The sequence below is a fragment of the Homo sapiens genome, chromosome 1 (assembly GCF_000001405.40).
Source record: "Homo sapiens chromosome 1, GRCh38.p14 Primary Assembly".
Classification (NCBI taxonomy): domain Eukaryota; kingdom Metazoa; phylum Chordata; class Mammalia; order Primates; family Hominidae; genus Homo; species Homo sapiens.
In genome coordinates this window covers 63,546,330-63,565,235 of record NC_000001.11, presented here as the reverse complement: position 1 = coordinate 63,565,235, position 18,906 = coordinate 63,546,330, and the positions used below count along the sequence as shown (strand labels likewise).

Here is an 18,906-nt window from a genome sequence, read left to right as displayed (position 1 = left end):
AGGCACCTGCCACCATGCCCAGCTAATTTTTTGTATTTTTAGTACAGACGGGGTTTCACCAGGATGAAGCCAGGATGTTAGCCAGGATGTCTTGATCTCCTGACCTTGTGATCCACCCGCCTCAGCCTCCCAAAGTGCTGGGATTACAGGCGTGAGCCATCACACCCAGCCCTAGTTAATTTTTGTATATGGTGTAAGGAAGGGGTCCAGTTTCAATCTTCTGCATATGGCTAGCCAGTTATCCCAGCAACCATTTATTGAATAGAGAATCCTTTTCCCATTATTTGTTTTTGTCAGATTTGTCAAAGATCAAACAGGTGTAGGTGTGCAGTCTTATTTCTGAGTGCTCTATTCTGTTCCATTGGTCTATATGTTTGTTCTTGTACCAGTACCATGCTGTTTTGGTTACTGTAGCCCTGTAGTATAGTTTGAAATTAGGTAGCATGATGCCTCCAGCTTTGTTCTTTTTGCGTAGGATTGCCTTGGCTATTCGGGCTCTTTTTTTTGGTTCCATATGAATTTTAAAATTTTTTTTCTAGTTCTGTAAAGAATGCCAATGGTAGTTTAGTGGGAATATCATTGAATCTATAAATTGCTTTGGGCAGTATGACCATTTTAACGATATTGATTCTTCCTATCCATGAGCATCAAATGTTTTTCCATTTGTTTGTGTCATCTCTGATTTCTTTGAGCAGTAGTTTGTAGTTCTCCTTGTAGAGATTGCTGGCCTCCCTTGTTCACTGTACTCCTAGGTGTTTTATTCTTTTTGTGGCAATTATGAATGGGAGTTCTTTCGTGAATTGGCTCTTGACTTGACTATTGTTGGTGTATAGGAATACTAGTGATTTTTGCACATTCTAAAATTTTTAAATTAAAATCTTATCACATCTAAAAGAACTGCCCTATAGTTTTATTTTTTCTTTTCATGGGCTTGATCTTTTATTTACTTATTTTCTTTATCCTACTAACTTAATATAGGAAGCAAACAACAAGCAAGAAAACTATTAACTGTAAATTATTCATTGTAAAATTATTAACAATATATGTGATAAGGAAGACGGGGAAGACTGCAATAATAAAACCTAGATTATGGGATGTTACTTAAATTTAGCACAATATTTAGCTCTCAACTACCTGTTAACATATACAAAAGGGAAATAAAAAGTTATGTAGTGCTTAAACTCTAAAAAAGAAAGTAAATTTTCCCAGTTCTGAATCTAGAAAGAAATTAATATCATGAAATTCTATTTTAAAAAGGAAAACAGAAAAAAAAGGGGGGCAAAACTAAACATGTAAGTTTCACTTCTCAAATTCAGTAAAAGAGCAACTATTCAATTACAGTATATAGGGGCAATGCCCTTATAAAGAAGTTATATTGCTCTTTAACAGAGGATCTTCATAGGCTGATACAGGGAATGTGTAATCAGTAATTCTACAGCCTAAATTAGAGAATTTAATAAGGAAAAATAAAGAAATAAGTAATAAGAATTTAATAAGAAACAATAAAGAAATTTAGTAAGAAAAAAGATTTTAAATCTGTTCAACTGATGAGGAACAGCTCCACTTCAATTAACACACTTATGTTAGGCAACCAGTGTCAGCTCCTCAGTTTTGAAAGTCAGGCAATCAGAGATGGATTCACATCAGTAAATACACTGCTTAGTGCCAACCAATCAACAGTCTCATCCAAGTAACCATGCTTCCCCAGATAGTATTAACTCATTTATGCCTCTAAAAGCCAGGCAATCCTTGAATTCCATACCTCCCCAAAACCCTATATAAATGAGCATTCTGCTCTTAGCCGAGAGACTGTGCCTGATCAGCATAGCTCTCCTTTATAGTAAGCAATCAATTCAGCTTTGTCTTTTTATTTCAGTTACTGAGTGGCAGTCTCATCATCTATTGATACTTTCCAATGTATACTGTATTTTTTTTACCTTTTGAATTTAAATGATACAAATAACCTACTCAATAAATAAATGAAATTTAAATTAAATTAAATGTTAGCTCAGAAATCCTTCTTGCTTATAGTTTCAAAGGTAAATGACATCAGTAACTGTGGTAAAAAGTCTTAAATTGCTCTTAACTAATTTCCCTAATAAGCAACAACATGGGTAGCACAATCAATATTGTTCCTAGATTAGATGCTGATTTTACACATGGTTAAAATGTGGGAGTCACTGACTGTTAGGCTCAAGTAGGATATAAATAGTTACCATAACTATTCACCTCCTATTTCTAAAAATGGGGAAAGAATAGAGAACCTCTCACCAAACAGGTTAATGAAGGTTTTGAATGATGTCAAAACTAGGAATTAAACCAAAGTCTAAATGTATCTAAAATAAAATTTGTCAAAGTTAGTATTGCCCTCCTAAGTTGATTCAAGTATGGAAAAAGGACAAATACTATTTTTAATTTTAAGAGTATAAACAAATGTACTGTTATGTAACTTGTGGCCTGAAACTGAAACTCTTAAATTCTATATTTTAAATCTGACATAAAATATAGAAATTAGCCTGGGTAAAACAGTGAGACCCCCATCTCTACAAAAAAAAAAAAAGTTAAAAAATTAGCTGGGCGTGGGGGCATGCACCTGTAGTCCTAGCTACTCAGGAGGCTGAGGCAGGAGGCTTACTTGAGCCCAGGAGGTTGAAGCTGCAGTGAGCTATGATTGTGCCACTGCACTCCAGCCAGGGTGACAGAGTAAGACCTTGTCTCAAATTAAAAAAAAAAAAAGTTTTATATATATATATATATATATATATATATATATATATATATATATAAATAAATTAAGAAGGCCTAATTTTTAAATTTTTATTACCCCTATGGTTTATTACGAGCCCTGTTCAACTTCTATACCTATCATGTTAATGATAATAATGATGATAATAGCTGATACATACACAATGCTTTGTATGAGCCAGCCACTGTTCCAAGTGTTTTACAAGTATTAACCCCAAAAGTACCCTTTATAAAAAGACCAGAAATCCAAGTTCTAATGCAGACACAGTCTCCTTATTCTAAGAGAGCCTTTAAACTGTTAAGACAAAGTGTTTCCCTATAGAAATGAGACTTTAGTAACTCAAACTGCCTTTTCCAATTTTAATTTTTTTAATACCAAATTTTTTTCCTGCATATTATATGCTTAGACTCTTTTGTCTTTGAATTATTTTAATGTTGGCAGTAACTAAATTTCAGGTGAGAACAAGAACTTGTATAAACTAACAGAAACATGTTGTTGCACCCAGGATTCATTCATATACTAAAGTTCAAAGATTTGGGTGCCCAATTCGAAAGTTATATGTCAGGAAAATGTTCATAAAGTAAAATATTATGTACATTAAACCCATTGGCAAAAGTTTAAGAATACTTTACCTCTGTCAACTCCAGAGCTTTATTGTAGCCCATAGAGTGTAGAGTTACCCAAAGGTCACAAGGATCTCCTTCTCGATCATTAGCTTCCATTAGATTCAAATCCATAAATCCTTGTCTTGTTAGTTCATTCCTCTTTGTATCAAAATTCTCTGTTTAAACAACCAAAAGTTTTTTCTTACATAATTTAAAAATTCATAACTTTAATAAAATGTCTATGATATATTATTATTCATAGATATTTATTTTAAAAGAGGCCTATGAATCTATGAGCAGGATAAAAGTGGAATAAAAATGGCTCAAAACATTATTGAGAGCTATTCTTCTAGTTTCCCATAACTCAGCATAGATATATCGTAGTACACAATTTCATTTTTCAAAAAATCCTAAAGTTATAAATAGTGCAAATATATTCTAAAATTAGAGGAAACTGTAATATTTCTGGGTAAATTCCAATCTGCCTGGTTATTTAGAGCATACGTTGTTATATATTTCAAAGAATTAAAATGCTTCATATGTATTTGCCACTTAAAGCCAGCAGAAACTGGATGAATTTGATATAATACTCCCCAAACTACTGAGTTTCAGAAAGAAAAACGGGAATAGTGTCATATTTAAGGAGATTACTATATGCCTGATTCCTCTAATTTTAGCTAAATTGTCCCCAAGTCTTGAAAGACTGACAGATAATGGGGAGCACTTTGGAATCCATGAATCAACTACATTTTCCCAGGTAAGTCTATGCCTGTTTTAACACTATTTATGAGCAAAACTAAATTTACCTAGAAGTATCTAGACATGCATAATTCCTGAATTTGTCTGTAACATGGATAATAAGTCGTTATTTATTATGGATATTTTGTTAGCTATCCTACAACAGGGAAGATTTTATTTCCTAACTTCCATCTATAATATATCCAAGGGAAATGGGTAGTCTTATTTGAGATGGCATCTCTTTTGTGTGCATTATTGTGAGAAAAGCAGCAGAGACATAACTGTGTAAAACCGGTTGACTGATTAATAGCTTAAAACATTTAGAAGCCGGGCACGGTGGCTCACGCCTGTAATCCCAGCACTTTGGGAGGCCAAGGCAGGTGGATAGCCTGAGCTCAGGAGTTCAAGACCAGCCTGGCCAACATGGTGAAACCCCATCTCTACTAAAAATACAAAAAATAAAATTAGCCCGGCATGCTGGCATGCACCTGTAGTCCCAGCCACTTGGGAGGCTGAGGCAGAGAATCACTTGAACCTGGGAGGCGGAGGTTGCAGTGAGCTGAGATCGTGCCACTGTACTACAGCCTGGGTGACAGAGTGAGACTCAGTCTCAAAAAAAAAAAAAAAAAAAAAAGTTAAGAGTTTAAAGTTATTCATAACTTTTTCAAGGGGAAAAAATAAATGCAGATTAAATTCAATCATGAAGAGAAATGGTAGCCACAAAAATCGAGGTTAGAGCTACTATGTAGAAACGATGAAAAAAATATTTGACATATAATACAAATACATTAAGAAACCTATCTAGATACTGTACTATAGAGACTATCAAAAACGAATCTACTTTTTAAAACTTAAAATTCTCAATCCTCATTAATTTTTAAAAAATTAACACTTGGGCCAGGCGCAGTGGCTCACGCCTGTAATCCCAGCACTTTGGGAGGCTGAGGCGGGCAGATCATGAGGTCAGGAGATCGAGACCATCCTGGTTAACATGGTGAAACCCCATCTCTACTAAAAATACAAAAAATTAGCCGGGCGTGGTGGCGGGTACCTGTAGTCCCAGCTACTCGGGAGGCTGAGGCAGAATGGCGTGAACCCGGGAGGTGAAGCTTGCAGTGAGCCAAGATCACGCCACTGCCCTCCAGCCTAGGCAACAGAGCAAGATTCCATCTCAAAAAAAAAAAAATTATTAACACTTGACTCCAAGACTTACTATAAAGCCACAGCAATCAAGACAGTGTGGTAATGGTGAAATAATGATGAATAGATCAATGGAACAGAATAGAGAGCCCAGAAATAGACCGACATAAATATATTCAACTGATATTTGACAAAGGAGCAAAGGCAATTCAATGGAGAAAGGATAGTCCTTTGTAAATGATATTGTAATGGTGGATACATGATGTTACATATTTGTCAAAACCCATAGAACTGTACAAGACAAGAGTGAACCCTCCAGGGGTTTGAGACCAGCCTGGGCAACATGGTGAAACTCATCTCAACAAAAAAATACAAAAATTAGCCAGGTGTGGTGGCACACACCTGTAGTCCTAGCTACTCAGGAGGCTAAGGTGAGAGGATCGCTTGAGCCTGGAGGCAGGGGTTGCAGTGAGTTGAGATTGCACCACTACACTCCGTCCTAGGCTAACAGTGACTCAAACAAACAAACAAAAAGACTGAACCTAATGTAAACTATGAACTTTAGTTAATGATTATGTATCAATAATTCACTCATCAATTGTAACAAAGGTATCATACAAATGCAAGATGTTAATAATAGGGAAAACTTGTGGGTGAGGAGGAATATATGGAAGATTTCTATTTTTTTTTTTTTTTTTTTTTTTTGAGACAGAGTCTCACTCTGTCACCCAGGCTGGAGTGCAGCAGCATGATTTTGGCTCACTGCAACCTCCACCTCCCAAGCTCAAGTGATTCTCCTGCCTCAGCCTCCCAAGTAGCTGGGATTATAGGTACCTGCCACCACACTTGGATAATTTTTGTATTTTTAGTACAAGTGGGGTTTCACCATGTTGGCCAAGCTGGTCTTGAATTAATGACCTCAAGTGATCCACCCACCTCAGCCTCCCAAAGTGCTGGGATTACAGGCCAATTTTTTTTTTTTTTTCTTTTTAAGAGACAATTTGCTCTGTTGTCCAGGCTGGTCTTGAAATCCTGGCCTCAAGTAATCCTACTGCCTTAGCCTTCCAGAGTGCTAGGATTATAGGCATGAGCCACAGCACCCAGCCTGTTTTTTCTGTAAACCTAAAATTGCTCTAAAAATAAAGTTTATTAGGAGGCAGTGCTTGCAGTGAGCCGAGATCACGCCACTGCACTCCAGCCTGGGCAACAGTGTGAGACTCCATCTCAAAAAAATAAATAAATAAATAAACAAAATAAAGCTTATTAATAAACAAAATAAAAATAAAGCATCTTTAAGTGTAAAAAAAGTTTATTAAAATAATCTTACAGATAAACAGTACATTTTCTTATTATTCAGGGGAAACATTAAAACCTTAAAAGCTCTCATTTCTTTGCAATATTATTAATGTTGGTAAAGTAGACATTCCTCCAAATCATTTTTCAAGTCAATAACTCTTGGAGACTTTTTGATAGCATTGAGTTCAAAGTTCTGGAGCCTATCTGTGAAACTTTCTTGCTGTGTAGCCTTGGTCAGGTTACTTAACCTCTAATTCTATTTCCTGATTTATAAAGTGAGAATAATAAAGTACTACTTCATAGAGTTGGTGTGTAGAAGTGCATAGATCAGCAGCTGGTACATGGTAGATGGTAAGCTATCAAAAAATGTTAACCGTCAACTCTGCCAATTCAATTAAAATTTTAAATTAGAATTTTACTTATCACAAACTTTACCATCAGAAAGCCACAAATTCACTCTTATGGAATGTTCTCTAGTGCCAATTAAAAGATTATATCATTAAAGTTACAAGATAATTACATCTTCCTATAGGTAATACTCTATTATGTATATTATGAATTTTATTAATCACAGTTTAATATTATAAATCAATATACATGTATTGCTGTTGATTATATTAACTTTCAGCTAAAATAGAAATACTGAAAGATTCCTTTATATAAATAATATACTTCTCTACCCTACTTGCTGTCTAGGTAAACAGACTCCCAACCTGGCTCACTTTGCCAAGCTTAGACCATTTTAAGACCCACATATAGCTATCCCAGTGAAAGCATACGTGAGTTAATCTCTCTTGACTGAATTCTGGTCTCCTCATACCTCTTGTTCTGTGATCTATAGTTGGCTATGGCTTTTTGGTTTTCCCTCGACCTTGGGGTCTTTGGCTTAAATATGCAAGTATGTCTTCCCAGACTCCTTCTAAGTGATAACTGACTTTGCCTCATTCTCAGTGATTTTCTTTGTCCATCTTGGCATTTTTGGCTTCAATATTTCCATAAATGGACTTTTTAAATTCAACTCAAATACGAAAAGCACTGAAGAATGTTTAACATGTATAATATAAGCAACTTCCTGGAAACCTTAATTTGTGAGTAAAACTCTAGCTTTTTGGCTTTTTGCTGCCCTCTCCTGGTCACAGTTTGTGGTTCTTGACCACTTCAGGCCCAGTGGTATCAAGCGCAAGGACAAGTTTTTTGTCTTCTAAACCCCGAAGAGTAGAGAATCAAAACTAAAATTATGATTAAGTAATTCACACTTTCTTTTAACTTGAGTATTATACCAACTATCGGTTTAAGAAAAATAAATGTTTAAGTTTTTATGATCTACAAACAATACTACTTTCAAACTGTCCTAAATGCTATAATAATATTTCATGCAGAAGTTTGACTTCTCATTTCTTAGAGATGAAAAGGTGCTATATATATATTTTTATACATCTGTTAAGGAAAAGAAAAGTGCTTACCTCTGCAGACAGCCCAAGCATCTTCATCACATTTCTCACCACTTGTTCTCAATTCAAAAAAATTATATTCTTCAAGGCTAAGAAGACCATTTCCATCTAAATCAATTACTTCAAATATATCTGATAAAGTAGACCTAAAATTATAAAAATAGCTAGTTATTTCTTGTCACTAAGGCAACTACGCTGAAGAAGGGTTTTTTTTTTTTTTTTGAGACGGAGTCTCACTCTGTCACCCAGGCTGGAGTGCAGTGGCGTGATCTCGGCTCACTGCAAGCACCGCCTCCTGGGTTCACGCCATTCTCCTGCCTCAGCCTCCCGAGTAGCTGGGACTATAGGCGCCCGCCACCACACCTGGCTAATTTTTTTTTTTTTTTGTATTTTTAGTAGAGATGGGGTTTCTCTACTAAAAATTTTAGCCAGGATGGTCTTGATCTCCTGACCTCGTGATCCGCCCGCCTCAGCCTCCCAAAGTGCTGGGATTACAGGCGTGAACCACCGCGCCTGGCTGAAGAAGGGTTCTATGAGGATAACATTCAAAAGGAAGTAATATAGCGTTACACAATTTCTGTAAACTATAAAGTTAATGTAACCAAATACAGTTTTGGCTCAGTCCAGTATTACATGAGATAAAAAAGCTTCTAGAACAACCACAGTATCTCAACACACAGTAAGAACTCAATGAATAGTAGTAGTTCCCTTCTTTTTTCCTTTCTCCAATCTACTTTCTTCTTCCTCTCTACCAATAGGGAGAAATTGTCGATGTTTGACTGAAGTTGACTTGCCAAATGTGTAGAACCCACAAGTAAATGAAAATCCCAGATCTGCAAATGGAGGAACATTTTCAGATGCCTAGAGAATGAGCTGTTTTGTTTTGATATATATATTTATGGTGTACAATGTGATTTTTTGATATATGTAGACAATGTGAAATGACTAAAGCTAATTAACATAGCCATTATCTCATATATTTATCATCTTTTTTTCTAGTGGGAACATTTAATATCTATTCTCTTAGCAATTTTCAAGGATACAATATATAACTATAATCACCATATTGTCAACAGATCTCCTGAACTTATTCCTCTTATCAAACTGAAATTTTGTATCCTTTCACCAACATATCCCCAACCCCCCCACTACTTCCAGCTGCTATAACCACTCTTCTACTCTCTGTTTCTATGGGTTTGACTTTTTAAGATCCCACATATAAGGCTGGATGTGGTGGCTCACACCTATAATCCCAGCACTTTGAAAGGTTGAGGCAGGATGCTCGCTTGAGGCCAGGAGTTTGAGACCACCCTGGGCAACATAGCGAGACTCCCATCTCTTTAAAAAAATTAGCCAGGCATGCTGGCAAGCCCCTGTAATCCCAGCTACTGCTACTCAAGAGGCTGAGCTGGGAGGATCACCTGAGCCCAGGATTCTGAGGCTTCAGTGAGCAATGATTGTGACAGTGTACTCCAGCCTGGGTAACAGAGCAAAACTCTGTCTCTATTTAAAAAAAAAAAAAGTTCCCACATATAAGTGAGATCATGCAGTATTTATCTTTCTGTGCCTGGCTTATTTAACTTAGCAGAACATCCTCCAAGTTCATACAGGTTGTTCACAAGAGTTGAATTGGTGAATTAGAATCTGAGGATGGGGGTGGGAGCTGGCCAAAGGGAGTAACACAGGCTATTAATATCTATCCAGTCTAGATGTTATAATTCTAACATTAATAAACAAAACTTACTTAAATTCCTTTGTAAGGAATAATTCCCCTGTTTCATCTCTATATACAAGTTGGGCTTCATCTGTTACTGGTTTTATTTTTTTCCTCAGCCTACAGCCAGTTGTGGAAGGAATTAACCAGTAAATTCCAGGTCCTAGTTCACCAGTCCATCCAAACACCTTTTCTCAAAACAATGAAATAAAACAATCATCAGTCTTAATCTTTTCATCTTTTAATTTAAAGCTTTTAATATTTCTTCTGAAAGGGACACATTAGAAATGATTTTTAAATCAATATTTACAAATTCTATTATAGTCCTATCAGTCTTTTTACAGGTTTCAAATTCTTTTTGTTAATGGTAATCCCATTATGAGATCATTAGATACAGCAGTTCTTTATATATTTTTGAAACAAATGCCTAAAACTGTAATAGGTAAGTTATATATCTTCTAAATCTTCCCCAACAATCTTCAAAAATATCTGTGATGCAAATACCTTCAACAGGAAGCAAAGATAAATCGTAGGGTAATTTTTTAATGCAAATACTGAGCTCCTTTGAAAAAAAGTAATAATATTCTAGATTATGGTTTCCTAATTTGATTCAAATATATGATATCTAAATCAGATTTCAATGACATAAAATAAAAATTAAATATATTTTGAAATGGTTTACTATTTGTATAAATTAATCACATTTGTAAGAGCTCAATTATGTGGATGAAAGCACTGGAACTTCACTTTTTTTAATGTAATATGGACTATAAAATAAGACACAGAATCCCAAATAAACCAGCTTTATATGAAATTCTGTTTCCTATCAAATGTTGGATATTTATCATGGGTACCAGAACATTTGTACAGGAAAACATTTTATTCTCCAGTTCTATAAAGAAAGCAGGCTGGGCATGGCGGTTCACGCCTGTAATCCCAGCACTTTGGGAGGCCAAGGTGGGTGGATCATTTGATGTCAGGAGTTTGAGAACAGCCTGGTAAACTTGGTGAAACCCCACCTCTACTAAAAATACAAAAATTAGCTGGGCATGGTGGCGGGCGCCTATAATCCCAGCTACTTGGGAGGCTGAGGCAGGAGAATCACTTGAACCCGGAGGTGGAGGTTGCAGGGAGCTGAGATCGTGCCATTGTACTCTAGCCTGAGTGATAGAACGAGACTCTGTCTCAAAAACAAAAAAACAAAAGAAAGAAAGAAAGCAAATGGTATCTCTCTATGTACCTCCTAAGAGCTTTTTGGAGCCCAAAGGTTTCCTATAAAAGCTAGCAGCTGTCTCTGTTAAATATATTAAATCTAAACAATTCTTAGTTGTGTGTAATAGCTAAGTGCCCTTCAGCACAGACTAACCCAAGAGAATCCTTTCACGTATTATGTCCAAAAATTCCTTTTAAAACCCAGGTATAAGGCCAGACACGGTGGCTCATACCTATCATCCCAGCACTTTGGGAAGCCAAGGTGGAAAGATTGCTTGAAGCTAGGAATTGGAGACCAGCCTGGACAACATAGCGAGATCCTATCTCTAAAAATAACAACAATAATAATAATGCATCTATAGTCCCAGCTACTTGAGATGCTAAGGCAGGAAGATCATTTTCACCCAGGAGTTCAAGGTTACAGGGAATTGCATCACTGCACTCCAGCCTGGGCAGCAGAGTGAGACCCTATCTCTAAATAAATAAACAAACAGACAAACAAAAACCAACTTAGGTATATTTTAGGTCATTCTGGAGACTCATATATGAAATAATGTTGCTCATCTAAGTTCTGGGTTTAGTTCCATTTCTGCCCTGGCAACTCAGAGAAATCATAATCTTCTTAAGGTCACCAGGTCCTATTTTGATACAAGAAGAAATCCAATATAACCGAAAGTCATTTTTAAGACTAAATGTTGGCCAGGCTGGTGGCTCAAGCCTGTAATCCCAGCACTTTGGGAGGCCAAGGCAGGCGGATCATGAGGTCAAGAGATCGAGACCATCCTGGCCAACATGATGAAACCCTGTCTTTACGAAAAATACAAAAATTAGCTGGGCATGGTGGCACACGCCTGTAGTCCCAGCTACTTGAGAGGCTGAGGCAGGAGAATCACTTGAACCCGGGAGGCGGAGGTTGCAGTGAGCAAGATCGCACCACTGCACTCCAGCCTGGCGACAGAGCAAGACTCCGTCTCAAAACAAACAAACAAACAAACAAAAATGAAATGTTTACCAAATCCATCCTTTGAAAAGCATAACCTTTGAAATTGGCTAGATGTAGACTCAGGAGTGAAAAACCAGATCTTGCTGCTTCCTAATATATATTATCCCATGATCCTTCCTTATCTCCACACATAACCTTGCACTGCCACTGTGGATGACAAATGGAAAGTTTTTTCATGGGCACAAAACTCATCTATAAGAAAATAATTGTGAAAGTATAAATACAAATAAAAAATCCTTTGTAAATACAACATATTACAGATAAACAGAAGCCTATAAAGAGGTAAATAGAAACTCATGCAAACTCTATTATAATTTTGCTATATACTAATTTTTTTACACATGCAATCTCATAAGAGAGTAATTTTACCCAAAACAAAGTGGAAACAGCTACTGTTTTAGACAATGCTTTATCTTGAACTTAACTTTGTAGTCAGTTCTGAAGAAGAGTTTAGTCAAAACATTAACTTCAGCCAATTTTATTTGTTTCTTGCCTATTCTTGTCTGTAAGGAAGCCTACAAAAAAGACTTTTATATAACATTCTATCAGGGAAATGTTTGTGTGTCATTGAGCCTATATAAAGATTAAATATGATACTGTAGTAAGCCCTTAAATAGCATTATTTCTGTTTTGTGTAGCAGATGTATTTTGTAGTCCTCATAAAATAAATAGCCACATTTATGTATTGGCTTCACATATTTGGCCTCTGAGTAAATATACTATTAGAAAAGATCAGAACAACCCCATGGGCAACATATAAAAACATTTAAAAGCATTTTTTCATATCAATCTATTTTTGAACCCTATAAAATAAGTCAAGCCTGAGGATAGTAATCTTAAGTTTTTCTGTTTTGCAGTAGTAGTATAAGTAAGACAAACGTCTACAGCAGCTTTTCCAAAGTCTTGAATTGCTTGCATTTAGGGAAAAAAAATGTACTGGCATCAACCTTTTTTATTGAGTATATCAAATGTTCACACATGAGGCATCAGGGCATTTAGAAAAGATGAAAGTAAGGTACAATATTATACAACTTAAAAGGTATAAGCCAAGACTCAAGACTGCCAACCAATCCTCAATTCTTTATTTAAATTTTTTTTTAGAGACAGGGTCTGGTTATGTTGCCCAGGCTGAAGTACAGTGGCTATTCACAGGTAAGATCATAGAATAATATGGCTTTGAACTCCTGGGCTCAAGTAATCCTCCTGCTTCAGTTTCCCAAGTAGCAGGGACTTCAGGTGCATGCCACCATGCCCAGCTCCTCCCATCCTTAATTCTTAAGAAATCGCAGCAAACAAGAAAAAATCCTTATAATTATTTAATTTAATTTAATATGATTAAATTAAAAACATATAATATCTATAGTGTTTAAGTGCTGTTTATACCTTAATTGGAAGGTATATGAAAGCTTAAAAAATAAAATACAGAAACATACTTTCCCCAAACTGCAGTTCATACTATATTTAAAAATTAAACATTAGAAAATAAATATGTATACTTCTCTATTTCGTAGTTCGGTAAAACACACAAGCTGTAGATTTGCTTGACTCTCATTTTCCTTGAGAATATACAAGGCAGTATCAACGGATAACCAAGGGGATGGTTTTCCTACAAACAAAAAAAAAAGCCCAAACACCTTAAAATAAGCAATCACTATCTATTCTTTCCTATATAAAAAATAAGTTACTAGTTTCTTCTTGGATATTTTCTTTAGAAATACATATTCCATGTTTTTTTTTTTCAAGACGGAGTCTCACTTGGTCACCCAGCCTGGAATGCAGTGGTGCGATCTTGGTTCACTGCAACCTCCACCTCCCGGGTTCAAGCGATTCTCCTGCTTCAGCCTCCTGAGTAGCTGAGACTACAGGCATGTGCCACCACACCCAGCTAATTTTTGTATTTTTAGTAGAGACGGGGTTTCACCACATTGGCCAGGATGGTCTCGATCTCCTGACCTCATGATCCACCTGCCTGGGCCTCCCAAAGTGTTGGGATTACAGGCGTGAGCCACCACACCCGGCCCATATTCCATTTTTATGTGTAAACATGATAGCATTTGCAATAAGGCACAAACCTAAATACAGCAACCTTGTGAGAAACATTTTCTATATACTCACTTTCTAAAAATCATAACTTTTCTTGAACTCATCAAAAGCTGAGGTTGCAGGGCAACCAATTAGCCTGAAATCCAAGGAAAAACAGAGATTTTCAGAAAAAAAAGAGGATTTAAGTACTGGCTTACCTGTGGTGGAGCACACGAGGAAGAGATGCCAGACATCTATGTGCTGACAACCCCAAAATTTATATCTTTAGGATCTTTCCTCTGAATGTTAGACCCATATAACTGTGTATTTAACATTTCTACCTAGATTTCTATTTCCAAAACTGGACTTCCCTAGTCTTTTTTTAAAACGCTGCCCATCTCAGTTAATGGTAACTCAGTCTTTCCAGTTGCTCAGGTCAAAAATCTTGGAATCTTCTTTAACTCTTTTCTTTTCTCACATACCAAGACCAATCCTTAGGAAATCCTATGGTTCTGCCTTCAAAATATACCCAGAATCTCTACTACCCCATCTCCCACCAACATCCTGGTTCAAAGCATTGCCAGTCCTCTTCTAGAATTCTACAATAATGTCCCAGCTGGATTCCTTGCTTTCTCCTGCGTATCCTTCCATCTACTTTCTTTTTTTTTTTTTAATGTTTCAAATCTATTTTTAATGTTGCTTGTCGAACATTAACATTTTCACAATTCCAGAAATGACATTAATAAAAATATAAACAAATTGATATAAAAATCTGTGTAGACTAAGCTAGAATTTACAAACTCTTAATAAAAGGTGTATCTAAGTTTCTCAATTATGGGACAACAAATAATAGACTTCATTGCTTCATACTAAAATGGTATTTTTGACTAATCACAAGGAAACTTAAACTACTGTATAGTTATAATCATAGGTATTCAGTCCAAAGAGGAAAAAAGTTTTAGTAGTACTATGAGAACCTGTATCTCTGAAAATGTTAGCTCCATAAGTGTAAGCACTCCCAAAGATTATAAGATAATAAAATGTGGAAACAGGCAAACTATGGGGCGATTTAAAGTTTCTACCACTTCCTAAAGATTTTCTTCAATAGAATCATTCGTGCTAAGTGGATAAAAGTTACAAATTACAAAAGAAAGATACAGAATACATCCAATAACAAATTAATCAGACTAAGGAATATTTAGTGTAAAACTGGCTTAAAATTTTTTGTCAGAAGAATTTCTCAACATCTAACCCTATAGCAAATAATACAAATAACAAGGAAATTCTTCAAGCAGTTGGCATTTCTTCAAAACACAAGGGTCCAACTATAAGAAAAATATCACATTATTCAAAGTCCTACAGAATTAGAGGAGAATCTGTACTACTCATGTTTTTTGCATAAATTCCATGATTTATAAATAAATAAACCCAAAATATAAATTATAAACATTTAATTTCAGTATAATGTAGACAAAAACAGCAGCTAACTTGTCATCTTTCACAGTAATTTTAACATAAAAGGTTTAAATATTTATTTTGCCAATATATTTTTCATTGCATATAGGCTTAAAAAAAAGACAATGGAAGTTATAAGTAATCCCTTGACATGTGTAAAATAAAATTTTTTAGTAGATGGGAATGTATTGATGATAGTCTCTTATTTCTTCTCCCAGATATGCAAGCGATATATCTAAATACTTACTAGAGCCAAATCTGTCTCAAAAGTTTAGGTCATTTTTTTTTCCTTTTTGATAGTATTCAACGAGAAATAACACTTTAAATAAAACTTTTTCCATGAGGAAGGTACAGTAATTATCCACCTCCTGGATACTCTCCTGTAGTCCTCTGAGTAAGCTCCAAACTCAATCCATACTCCAAGTAACAGACTTAAGATGTTCAATATTGGAACTCTTTGGCATCAACTAAAAAAGAAACCTTGGTAAAAGCAGAATTTACAAACATTTTGTTCCTTGCAGTACACCTTTCAAAAGACATCTTCATCAAATAGGTAAGAAAGGTAAGAATTGCTGAGGTAAGTAGAGGTCTCTTTTATTATGGTCTTCATTCTATCATTATTAAACCTTAATCTCATGTCCTGTTCCAAAGCATTATGTGAGTATTCAATCAAAGAAGTGAGGCTGTTCTCCAGAATTGGTTCTCTGCTACAGGTCAAAACCGACTGCGCCAGCCTTGGCGAAGCTCCGCCTACTGCCCTTTGCTCCAAGTAATTTTTGGCGATTTTTAAAGTAATTTTTCCGGCGGAGTCATAGTGGCGCTATACTCTTGGATAGGTTATCCTGTCTCTTCCGCTAGATTGATGAGATCAGGTATCACTCGAAAATGGCGCCGAAAAGTGCTGAGGCTCCTCATTCAAATTCGTTAGAGCCAACCCTGCCTTCTACCTACTTTCAATACAGTAACCTAACTGCTCTTGTTAAAATATAAATCAGATTATGTCCTGCCTTCTACTCAAAACCCTCTAATGGAGCAGAGTTGGGAGAATATTGCTCCTTTCCTAACAATAAGAAAAAGTTAATGAACTACAAAATCATAACTTTTCTTGATCCCATCAGAGCTGGGGTTACAGGACAACTATAAGCTTAAAATCCAAGGAAAGACAGATCTTTCCCAGGAGAGACGAGATGCAAGCACTGGCTTACCTGTGGTGGAGCAGAACAGGAAGAGATGTCAGGTACCATACAAGTGGAAGAAGAAGAAAGAGGGCAGAAGAAATATTTGAAGAAATAAGGCAGAGGATTTTCTAAAAATAATGAAAGGCAACAAGCCACATATCCAAGAAGCTCAGAGAACCCCAAGCAGGATTAATACCAAAAAACAAAAAAACCCAGGCAACAGCATCAACAACAAAAACAAAAACTACCTAGACACACAGTCAAACTGCTGAAAATGAAAGATTAAGATAAAATCTTGACCTTATATATGGAGAATAAAACTCACAAAAAACGAGGGGGAAACCTCATTTCTCTGATCAAAAGCCCAAGTCCTAATTATGGCAAAAAGAAACCTCTTCCTGATTTTGTCCTTGTTTCTCCCTGGTTTCATCTCCTACAACTCTCTCCTCACTTACTCCATTTGAGACACTCTAGCCTCTGTTCTTTTAACACCAGTACACTCTCACAGAGCCTCTGCACAGAGTATTCTGTCTACCTGGAATACTCTGCCACCTCCTCCACTCTTCACCCATCCCTTCCAGCACCATACACCCACAAGGCTTACTCCCTTGCCTTCTGTGGAAGACAGCAAAAATGGCTGTCCCCCTCAGTATCTACAGCCTTTTGCAATGTGACTTTGCAGCTTTTCCATCAAGAGATCAAGTCTATTTCCCCAGCCTATGAATCTGGACTTGCCTTGTGACTTTCTGTGAGCAACAGAATATAACGAAGTAACATTGTGCTGGTTCTGAGCCCAAACCTCAGGAGATCCTATTGTGCCAAGAGAACAGGTCCAGGCTAGTTTACTGAAGGATTATTAAAGATCATATGAGGCTGAGTCAAGTTGTCCCAGATGGGACTTCATACGTAAGAAAGAACCCAGCCAAGATTAGCAAAGCCAGCCACCAGCTAACCTGTAGCTAACCATAACTGTGTGAGCAAGCCCTATAGAGAAAAAACAAGCCTGGCTCAGACTAAGAACTAACAGATCTACTGATTCATGAGTGAACAAATGTTTAATTGTTTTAAGCCACTGAGTTTTGGGGTAGTTTTTTATGTAGCAGTTGGTAACTCATACATCTCTTTCAAAGTCTTTATTCATATGACACCTTCTTAATGAAGCATATACTAACCACTCCATTTCAATGGCAACCCACATTCCCTCAGCACTCACTAACCCCCTTTCCCTCTGATTTTCCCATAACACTTATCACTTTCCTACATACCATGTCATTTACTATTTATTATGTTTATTATGTATTGTTTCCCTCACTAAAATTTAAGTTGACGAGGGCAGGGATTTTTGTCTTTTTTTAACTCTAATGTATCCTAAACACCTAAACTGATGTCTGGTATATAAGGCCCTCGATAACTATTTGATAAATAAATGAATAAAGGAATCTTGTTAATAAGAATACAGAGAATTAACAACTACACTGAATTTGCAGGGCTATCTTGATTCCTCTCTCTGAAAAATAACTATTGTTATTGTCATTTAAAAGTATCATCTGCCAAACATTATACGTATCCCACAAGAGATGCAGTGAAAACTTTCAAAATCTCTACTTTAGGAGGGAAAAAGAATGGGGAGGTGGGAATCCTTTAGTAAGAAAATGCTTGTATGTAAACATTATAAAAGAAAAATAAATATTGATTTAGAACAGCCAACATTAAAAAAGGTTATCTAGGGAAATCACCCTTATAGATAGATATCTTTCATTGCTTAAAAATTACATAACCATTTTAGACACTAGAAAAGTATTTTTATCTAGAATATTACCATGAATACAAAGATTATTAATAAATATTGTCTAAGTCACAGACAAAGGGTTTTGAAGGTATTTAAAAATACTTTCAGCTTCATATTGTTCCAAATTATCCCCTTGCAGTACTTCTCTTTGACATATTAATTTTAAAAATTGACAAATGGAAAAAGCTAAGATTAATTAGCAAATAAAAACTTAGTTCTGGCTGGGCATGGTGGCTCACACCTATAATCCCAGCCCTTTGAGAGGCCGAAGCGGGTGGATCACCTGAGGTCAGGAGTTTGAGACCAGATTGGCCAACATGGTGAAACCCTGTCTCTACTAAAAATACAAAAAGATTAGGCGGGCGAGGTGGTGTGCACCTGTAGTCCCAGCTACTCGGGGAGGCTGAGGCAGGAGAATCACTTGAATCCAGGAGGCGGAGGTTGCAGTGAGCCAAGATCGAGCCACTGCACTCCAGCCTGGGCAACAGAGGGAGACTCCGTCTCAAAAAAAAAAAAAGTTAGTTCTATATCATGAGGAAACCAGTTAACATTTTTTT

At 36.2% G+C, this 18,906-nt stretch overlaps 1 protein-coding gene and 1 pseudogene across 7 annotated transcripts in view; both read right to left on the bottom strand.

Annotated features, from left to right (window-relative positions):
• Nucleotides 1-18,906, bottom strand: part of EFCAB7 (EF-hand calcium binding domain 7) — a 61,846-nt gene that overhangs the window by 20,135 nt on the left and 22,805 nt on the right. For 4 of the 6 annotated variants that reach the window (XM_011542301.3, NM_032437.4, XM_006710977.2 and 1 more), the window contains exons 8-11: nucleotides 13,402-13,511; nucleotides 9,721-9,878; nucleotides 7,989-8,122; nucleotides 3,379-3,527 (exon numbers count right to left, since the gene is read on the bottom strand). In XM_011542301.3, the coding sequence (XP_011540603.1) occupies nucleotides 3,379-3,527; nucleotides 7,989-8,122; nucleotides 9,721-9,878; nucleotides 13,402-13,511 (551 nt within the window). Of the gene's footprint in view, nucleotides 1-3,378; nucleotides 3,528-7,988; nucleotides 8,123-9,720; nucleotides 9,879-11,914; nucleotides 12,053-13,401; nucleotides 13,512-14,020; nucleotides 14,085-18,906 lie in introns of those variants that run through there. The other 2 variants (XR_946779.4, XM_047432129.1) reach the window with 2 other exon arrangements.
• Nucleotides 14,600-16,256, bottom strand: DLEU2L (deleted in lymphocytic leukemia 2 like; annotated as a pseudogene). Its single transcript, NR_002771.1, has one exon. The product of NR_002771.1 is annotated as a deleted in lymphocytic leukemia 2 like (long non-coding RNA).